The following is a 9561-nucleotide window of genomic DNA, read 5'->3' on the forward strand; positions in this document are numbered from 1 at the left end:
ACTGTAAACTAGTTCAAGCATTGTGGAAGTCAGTGTGGCGATTCCTCAGGGATCTAGAACTAGAAATACCATTTGACCCAGCCATCCCATTACTGGGTATATACCCAAAGGACTATAAATCATGCTGCTATAAAGACACATGCACACATATGTTTATTGTGGCATTATTCACAATAGCAAAGACTTGGAACCAACCCAAATGTCCAACAATGATAGACTGGATTAAGAAAATGTGGCACATATACACCATGGAATACTATGCCGCCATAAAAATTGATGAGTTCATGTCCTTTGTAGGGACATGGATGAAATTGGAAATCATCATTCTCAGTAAACTATCGCAAGAACAGAAAACCAAACACCGCATATTCTCACTCATAGGTGGGAATTGAACAATGAGATCACATGGACACAGGAAGGGGAATATCACACTCTGGGGACTGTTGTGGGGTGGGGGGAGGGGAGAGGGATAGCATTGGGAGATATACCTAATGCTAGATGACGAGTTAGTGGGTGCAGCACACCAGCATGGCACATGTATACATATGTGACTAACCTGCACAATGAGCACATGTACCCTAAAACTTAAAGTATAATAAAAAATTAAATTAAATTAAATTAAATTAAAAAAACAAGGATAAGGATAAAGACAGATCCTCACTGCTTCCTGCTGACAGGGGGCGCTATTTTAGGGAAATGGCAGTCAGAGCTTCCTCAGAGGCCTACCTAAGGGTTTCTGGCAAAAGGAGCCATAGACAAAGGCTTTGGTTGCATGATGGTTTGGAGTTTGATGGCCTGAAGGTGAGAAGAGACAAAGTGGGTTATTAGAAAACATATATAGAAATGGAATAAGGGAGGGGTAAGGACAGCTCAAAAATCCGGAGGCCTTTTAACCAGTTTGCACAATGAGAGGGGATGCCAAAAGCCTGACCAGTAAAAAAAACTTTTACCCTTTTGTCAGCATGTTAGGCTTCTGGGTTCTCTTCCCTGGAGCCCAATTCTAAGCCAACCAGTTTAAGGTTTGGGAAATTAACTCTTCCCATTTTGGAGGATGCATCTGAGGGGAGTGTCCTGTAGTTTGGAGACATGATTATCTATCGGTGAAAGGGATAGATGAAAATAAAGGAAAGAAGAAGGAATTTTTTCAGAGGAGTCCCAGGGGTTCAGGATGTATTCAAAAGGGGTACAGACTAAAGATTAATGGCTACTCTCTAGAAAGAGGGGAGCAGGTGTCCCTGGTTCCTTTCTTTTCCTAGCACATACCCAGGGCACATGGAGAGGGAAAATGAGACTTTCCTCTTTCTTTCCTCTGTCCTTATGTTCTCGAGTCTTGGTGACCACAACAGGGTGCCACCCATGGGTGTTAAAGTGGCTTTCAACCATGTTAACAGGGGGGCCTAGGGGATGGGAGTATCTGCTCTTACCCATGTATGCGCTATCATCCCTGCTGTCAGTAGCCTTGAATTCCCTAGACCTCATTTATGCCATGGATATTAGCGTGACCTTTATCCATGGAATGAGAAGCTAGGCTTAATTGGAGGGAATCAGTCATGCTCACCTGTGTTGTGCCTTTTAACCTCTGTTATCATCTGTTTCCGGATCCCTTAGATCCAGTTTTCTATTCTAGGGCTTTGATCCAAAGCTTGGAATTGAGTTTGGTACAAAAATCTGTCTTGTGGGGGTTGCAAGGACTCCTTATCATAAGCCAAATGCTAAAGTGAAGCTGTGGAATTGAGTCTTCCTCCAGCAAGGGAGAGAAAAGGATATCTTATGACATGCCCAGATAACTGGTGGCTATAGTTATGCTTGCTAAGATTTCAGTGCATTGTGCTTGGCTTTGATTAGCTCCCTTTGTTTTACTTTCCCAAAAAGGAATCCTCTGGGTTATGGGCACCCTATTCATTCCCATCACCTGGCAGAATTTGCAGGATAATTGCTCATAACTAGAATATTGATCCAGATTTTTATATTACCCATTCCCTTTTGTTTCTTCTGAGCTGCAGCTGGAGATCACTGGTTGGTTCACAAGAACAAGCAGGGTTAGTCTAAAATGTAGGCAAAAACTTAAAAAAACTAATGAGCTAATGAGTTTAGAATTTAATGACAAATATATGATAAGTTTCAAAACATAATTTCTGTCTCTCCAGTCCTCAGTTTTGTTAAAAAAAATCATGAAAGGACTGAGTTGTTTGCAAAATAGTCTTTAGTCTTATACTTGGCCTGACTATTTGCACAAAGTGCAGCAAGAATAATTATCTCTAAATAGGCATTTTAGATTGGCTTTGATGGGACTCTGTTCCACAAAGAATGTCAGATAAGACCTTTTAAAGTGAAGCACAGCCATGGATTTGTATCTTCAAATACCTGTGATTTGGGTGATCCTCTTCCCTTAAGGTCCCAAGATAAACTTGGAACTCCTGGGTCTGTTAGAAAGTGACATTCTTTACTGACTGCAGGTCAGGAACCCTATACAGGGACTGTGTAGAGAAGAGTATGAGGCCAGTTTTTCCCAAGGGGCTTTTATCAGCTCTGCAAGTTAAGCTTGACTCTTTAAAGGGAAGCAAACCCTTCCAGTCAAAACCTTAGTAAAACAACCAGTTTCTCCAATTGCATCCTGTTGCAAAAGAAAATGAATTCTTATTGCACTGATGCAAACAACTATATTGCTGTGAGTTAAGAATATTCACAACTAATTTCCAGACTATAGAGGAAAAAGGCAGAGAGAAACAAACACGTTCCAAGTTTTGTTCACAGGAGTATACTGGACTCTGAAAAACAAAACAAGGATCAGCAGTATTACAAGCAAATGTCAAAGAGATTGCTTCAGTTTTCTGAGTTCAGTCCATTCAGTTAGCTTATTTTGCTTGATGTTCATGAGTCCTGTACATCTTTCCTTTATTCCAATGTCACAATTTCCAAAGTTATCAGAAACCTATATTTGAGAGCACCTGTCAAATTTCTATAGCTTGTTATAAACCATCTTTTAAAAAGGATTAAAATATGGCAACAATTGTCTGTGAATAACAAAATGTCCAAGGTAGTTACAGTTAGAAACACATTTGACAATGAAGTTTGGTTATCTCTGTGATTTACAATAATTTAACATAACTACCTTAATTATGATTGATAGCATGTATTTTAGACATTAGAATTTTTGAAATCCCATACAATTTTGGAGCATATATTAGTATTATTCACAAAAAAAGAAGATTGAACACCTTTTTGGCAATCCCATTTACCTAAATATGTACCTCCCTTTTGGATACTCCAGGGGCACTGTGAAGCCTCCAAAAGCCAGACATTAGGAAAGACAATTTTGAAACCAAAGTTTCATTTTGGGAAGCCTGCTAAATATGTTAGAGATTTAAAGCACAATGTTATGATTCTCTGGACCAACAGGCTGGTTTTTTTCAGCCTTCAGGCTGTTTTAGGCTTGAGGGTGGGGTTTCACCGGGGGACCCTTAGCTGCCTCCTGTCTCTATCAGTATTGATTCTCCCCACATGTAGTAGGCATCCACAAAAAGCAGAAATTGTCACAATAATTGTGTTTAGATATGGATACCTGTTCTATTGGTAGAGCAGGAAAAGTATCTTTGATGAGCCAGGACCATGAATAAATTTTGTTGAATTCACAAACATACAGATGATTTTTTATTATCTGTAGATAATAGAGGCAGTGTAATAAACACTCTCCAAATGTTCCCAACCCATGTGAAATGTCTATACACAACTAAACCTTCATTATTACTTGAAGACAGACAATGCTGAAACAGCTAATAACTTGGATTAAAAGGAGAAAAATCAACAGATACCAGTGCCCCAGTCCCACTGACTTTCACTTCATCTTAACAAGCAAGGGGGGACTGAGAAAAACTGCAGATGAGGACTCAGGAGAGAGAGACACTTGCAAAGGGGTCTGAGTGTGGGATGGAGTGAAAGATTAAATCCACCAGAAAGATTATTTCTAAACCACCAGAAATCCATTCTAAACATGCTAACATATAATAGGCAGATCAGAGCACATCAGAGCACAATTGTAGAAGACAGATTTCAAAGTAGAGCATCTTAAAGGGCCAGACCTGTGACTTAAAGGGAAGAACTTTATTTAAAAGGACAAGTTTTATTTAAAGGGAAAGGCAATTTTAAGTGACGGTTTTCCAAAAGCATAACTTCTATGAGAGGAGAAAGGCAAAAAGGAAGGGATGTAAGTGTACAAAACAGAAAACAAAAAGCACAATATAAAAGTACTTGGAGAAAGCATGGGTGAATTCCTCTTTAACTTTCGTTGGAGCACAGGCCTTCTGAGGTTAAGTCAAAACCTATAGGCAGTAAAAAATAATTGATTTGATCACATAACAATGAAAAACTTTGCATCACAAAAACAGCATAAACAAAGACAGAATATAATTTATCTGGGATAAAATATTCAGAATATTCCAAACACAGACCATGTTTAAATGGCAAATATTTCTAATATATAAAGAACTCTGAAAGCTTGAAGAATAAGGCTGGGAGCAGCGGCTCATGCCAGTAATCTTGGCACTTTGGGAGACCAGAATGGGTAGATTGCTTTATCATGTTGGGGTATGTTTCTTTTATACCTAATTTGTTGAGAGATTTTTATAATGAAGAGATATTGACTTTTGTCAGATGCTTTTTCTGCATCTTTTGAGATGATTATGTGTTTTGAATCCTTTGTTCTGTTAATGTAATATATCACATTTATTGACTTGTGTATATTAAAGCATCAATATATTTATTGGATGAATCCCACTGGATCATGGTAAATAATCTTTTTAATGTGGAGTTGAATCCTGATTTCTAGTATTTTATCAAGGATTTTTTGCAGCTATGTTTATCAGGAATATTGGTCTGTAGTTTTATCTTTTTGTTGTGTCCTGGTCTAGTTTTGGAATCAGGGCCATACTGGCCCCTTAGAATGAATTAGGAGAGTTTACTCTTTTTCACTTATTTTGGAATCATTGCTGAAGTATTGATATTAGTTCTTCTTACACATTTTGCAGAATTCAACAGTGAAGCCATCACATCCCGAACTTTTCTTTGATGGGGAGACTTTTTATTATTGCTTCAATCTTGTAACTTCTTATTTGTCTGTTCAGATTTTCTATTTCTTTTTGATTCAGTCTTGATAGGTTTTACGTGTCCAGGAGTTTATTCCTTTCTTCCAGTTTTTTTTTCAAATTTCTGATGTATAATTATTCATAGTAGGTTCTTATGATCTTTTGTATTTTTGTGGTATCAGTTGTAATGCTTTATTTTTCATCTCTAATTTTATCTATTTGAGACGTCTTTCATTTTTTCTTAGACTGGCTAAAGATTTGTTGATTTTTTATCTTTTCAAAAAAACAAATCTTTGTTTCATTGATATTTTATACTATTTGTCTCTATTTTACTTATCTGTGCTTTGATCTTTTTTTTTTTTTTTTTTGAGACTGAGTCTCACTCTGTCACCCAGGCTGGAGTGCAGTGGTGCAATCTCGGCTCACTGCAAGCTCTGCCTCCCGAGTTCACACCATTCTCCTGCCTCAGCTTCCCGACTAGCTGGGACTACAGGCACCTGCCATCACGCCGGCTAATTTTTTGTATTTTTAGTAGAGACGGGGTTTCACTGTGTTAGCCAGGATGGTCTCGATCTCCTGACCTCGCGATCCACCCTCCTCAGCCTCCCAAAGTGCTGGGATCATAGTGAGCCACTGCGCCTGGCCTGTGCTTTGATCTTTATTATTTTTTTCCTCTACTAAATTTGGGCTTAGTTTGTTCTTGCTTTTTTAGTTTCTTGAGGTGTTCTGTTAGTTTATTTGAGACATTTCTTCTTTTTGGATGTAGATGTTTATTACTATAATTTTCCCTCTAAAAACTAATTTTGCTATTTCCCTTAAGTTTTAGTATACTGTATTTCCATTTTCATTTATCTCAATAATATTTTAGAATTCTCCTTTAATTTCTTCATTGACCTGTTGTTTTTTAGGAGCATGTTTAATTTCCATGTATTTGTACAGTTTTCAAAGAATTTCCTGTTGTTAATTTCTAGTTTTATACCACTATTGTCAGAAAAGGTAAATTGATACGATTTTGATTTTTTTTTAATTTGTAAAAACTTGTTTTACCATGGCATAACATGTGGTCTGTCCTAGAGAATGTTCCCTTTGCAGCTGAGAAGAATGTGAATTTCTATAGCTGTTGGATGTTCTGTAAATGTCTGGTAGGTCCATTTGATCTTGAGTGCAGTTTGAATCTGATATTCCTTTGTTGATTATCTGTCTAGACGATCTGTTTACTGCTAAAAGTTGGATACTGAAGTTCCCTACTGTTACTGTATTGCTGTCTATCTCCCTCTTTAGATCTATTAATGTTTGCTTTATATATTTAGGTGCCCCAATGTTAAGTGCATATATATAGTTATGATTGTTATATCTTCTTATTTGTATTGACCTCTTTATAATTATATAATGGCCTTGTTTGTCTCTTCTTATAGTTTTAACTTGAGGTCTATTTTATCTGATATAGGTATAGCTACTCCTGCTTTCTTTTGATTTCCATTTGCATGGAATATTTTTCTCCATCCGTTCGTTTTCAGTCTGTGCATTCACTTACAGGTAAAGTGCATCTCTGTAGGCAGCATGAAGTTGGGTCTTATTTTTTAATCCATTGAGCAATTATATGTCTTTTAATTAGATAATTTAATTCATCTATATTAAGCATCATTATTGATGGGTGACGGCTTGCTTTTGCTATGTTGTTATGTGTTTTCTGTGTTATGTGTTTTGTAGAATCTTTGTTTCTTTTTCTCTTACTGTATTCCTTTGTGATTAAGTGATTTTCTCTATTAGCATGTTTTGATCTGGCTATTTTTAATGTATCTATTAAATGCTTTTGTTTTTTGATTAATACAAGGCTTACTAAAAACATGGCTATAACAGGTTATTTTGAATTGATAGCAATTTAATTTTGATCATAAGAAGAAATCCACTTTACTTTTTAGTTCCATTACCTCCCCACATTTTGCATTTTTGATGTCTTAATTTATATCTTTTTATATTTCTTATCTCTTAGCAAAGTTTTGTAATTATTATTTTCATTTGTTTTGTCTTTCAGCCTTCCTATGATGGATGTAAATGGTTCATGTTCCACGATTGTCTTGTTAGAATATTCTGAATTTGCTTTATATCTTCAGATGTTATTGTGCTAAACATTAGCATTTTTTGGTTTCAGTGTGAAGAACTTCATTTAGTATTTCTTATAAGGCAGGCCTGGTTGCAATAAATTTCCTCGGCTTTTTTGTTTGGGAATTTTTTTTATTTCTCTTACTTTTCCGAAATATACTTTTGCTAAGCACAGTATTCTTGGTTGTATGTTTTGTGTGTGTGTGTGTGTGTGTGTGTGTGTGTGTGTGTTTTGTCAGCACTTTTTCTTCATCTAGTTTTCAATGTCTGAATTTGTGACCTTACTATTTCAGTGGGCTTGTTGAGAAATTCTGAGCAAACTGGCTATTGTATTCTATTTAAGCACTAGAGGGCACCTGATGACCAGGTTAGAAACAAAACTCACAATGACTCCACCACTAAAGCTGTTCCAGCTGGATGGGCTGATAGATTTATGGAGGGCTCTCAGGGCCATGTGGGAGAGCCAGTCAGCCTCTAGATTCCAGAGCATCTGTGGACTGTGCTTCCCACAGTGTGGCACCCATAAACAGCCTCTCTGGTGTGGGGTCTCTTCTGGCAGGGATGGTGAGCCACTGCCAAGTTCCACTGCTGGCTGCCCCTAGCCCCACCCCTCCCTTTGACGCGAACTGACTTCTGGTGGTTCAGCCCTGCATCAGTACTTGTGATTCTCCCTGCGGGCTGATGCAGAGTGAATCTCTCACTGAGGAACCCAGGATAGTGAGGAAGCCTACTGTTCACCTCCATCCAGCTCACTTTTTCACTGTAGAAACTGTGAGTCCAGGGGGATTTTCTGCATGTGTTTCCATAATGGCTTGTGGAGGACAAGCATCATGATCACAGAGAACCAATTTACTATCCCACCACAATTTTATTCATTTTTGCAGTCCAGGGGGCTTCATAATCTCACTCACATGTTCAGGTTCCCTTACCTCTTGTGAAGGTTCTTGTGGATAGTGGTTCAAATTGATGTTCCTGTGGGAGTAAGATGGCTGGAGAGATCTACTCTGCCATTTTGCTTTGCCTGCCAGCCAGAAATAGCATTTTTGAAAAGAAAATAATTTGTGCAAAAGTGTGGCAATACAAAAGATAATAAATTATAAGAAGTATTTTGACATGTCTAAGTCTATGTGCAGAAATTGTTATAAATAAGACTGTTAAGGTGGTTGTTAACCAGATCATGAAAGCTGACATATAACTTGATGAGGAAAAGGGAAAAAGAGTAAGAGTTTTAATGATGGGGCTGATATGAGCCAATAAAAGTATATGTTATACTTGGCCAATATATTGTAAATTTTATCTAGATCAGGGGATGGCAATCTATGGCCCTGGGCCAAATCCAGTCCACCACCTGTTCTCAAAAATAAAATTTTACTGAACCATACCATGCGCATTCACTAACATATTGTCTATTGCTTTTTGCCCTACAAAAGCTGGGTAGATTAGTTGATAGAAACCTAATGGGCTACAAAACTTAAAATATTACTTAACTTGTAATTTTACTTAAACATTACAAAAAGTTGGATGCTCCCCAGTGTAGATTAATAAGCCTATAAGAAAACCCAGGAGTTTTTCTCTTAAAAAAACCCCCCAAACCAGGATGGGGCTTCTCTAAACAGATACTAAAATTTGTCATATAGCCACAATCTTTAGACATGCGAGCACTGAGTGATGCACAAGATGGACAGATTACTAGCTCATTGGAGTAGAATTTGAAAAACAGTATTTCTGGATGAAAAAATAATCTAGAGATAGATTTTTTGTTTTTTAAAAATAGTATATGATAAATGTACTTTGGAACAATGGGGGGAAAGGATTATTACATTTATGTAATTGGGTTCATTGACTAAATATTAGGAAAAAGAAAGAAAGGTGTATCTTTTTCTCAGCTTTATACCAAAATAAATTTCGTAAACTCTATTCAGTCATTCCACTTTTAATAACACAATTTAAAGATGTAAAAAGACCCATCGTATTATAGCTTACACAGGAAAGATATTTTGCAGCAACTTTACTGAATGTTCATTAATGAATTAATGGTTAAATAAATAATGACGTATTTATGTGATGGAGCTTTATACAACTATTTTTAAAATGAAATAAATTACAGATAAGTAGGTGATGATACATAGACAGTTGATGGATAGTTAATAGATAGTTGATAGATCTAAAAAGGGAAGATCACGTTTATAATAAATCTCTTGGAAGCCTTCCAGACCTGGGAAGTAACTGCACCTTCCAGGGCTAGCGAATTTCCAAGAGTGTTAGACAGCTAGCCTGAAATGTGGCTTTCAAATGCAGACAGGCCATTTCAAGGCCATCCCCACTTATGTTCTGATGTGACTCTCAAGCACCAAGCCAATGTTTTCCTCCTTCTAAG

General features: G+C 37.1%; 1 long non-coding RNA gene across 1 annotated transcript; it reads right to left on the reverse strand.

Moving 5' to 3' along the window:
- Positions 1-733: 733 nt before the first annotated feature.
- Positions 734-9545, reverse strand: LOC105377995 (uncharacterized). The gene is made up of 4 exons (XR_942977.2): positions 9400-9545; positions 8114-8205; positions 4249-4319; positions 734-795 (listed from the first exon to the last, which is right to left on the reverse strand). It is a non-coding gene; the product is annotated as an uncharacterized LOC105377995 (long non-coding RNA).
- Between the last annotated feature and the right edge of the window lie 16 nt (positions 9546-9561).

The sequence above is a fragment of the Homo sapiens genome, chromosome 6, assembly GCF_000001405.40.
Source record: "Homo sapiens chromosome 6, GRCh38.p14 Primary Assembly".
NCBI classification, from domain to species: Eukaryota; Metazoa; Chordata; class Mammalia; order Primates; family Hominidae; genus Homo; species Homo sapiens.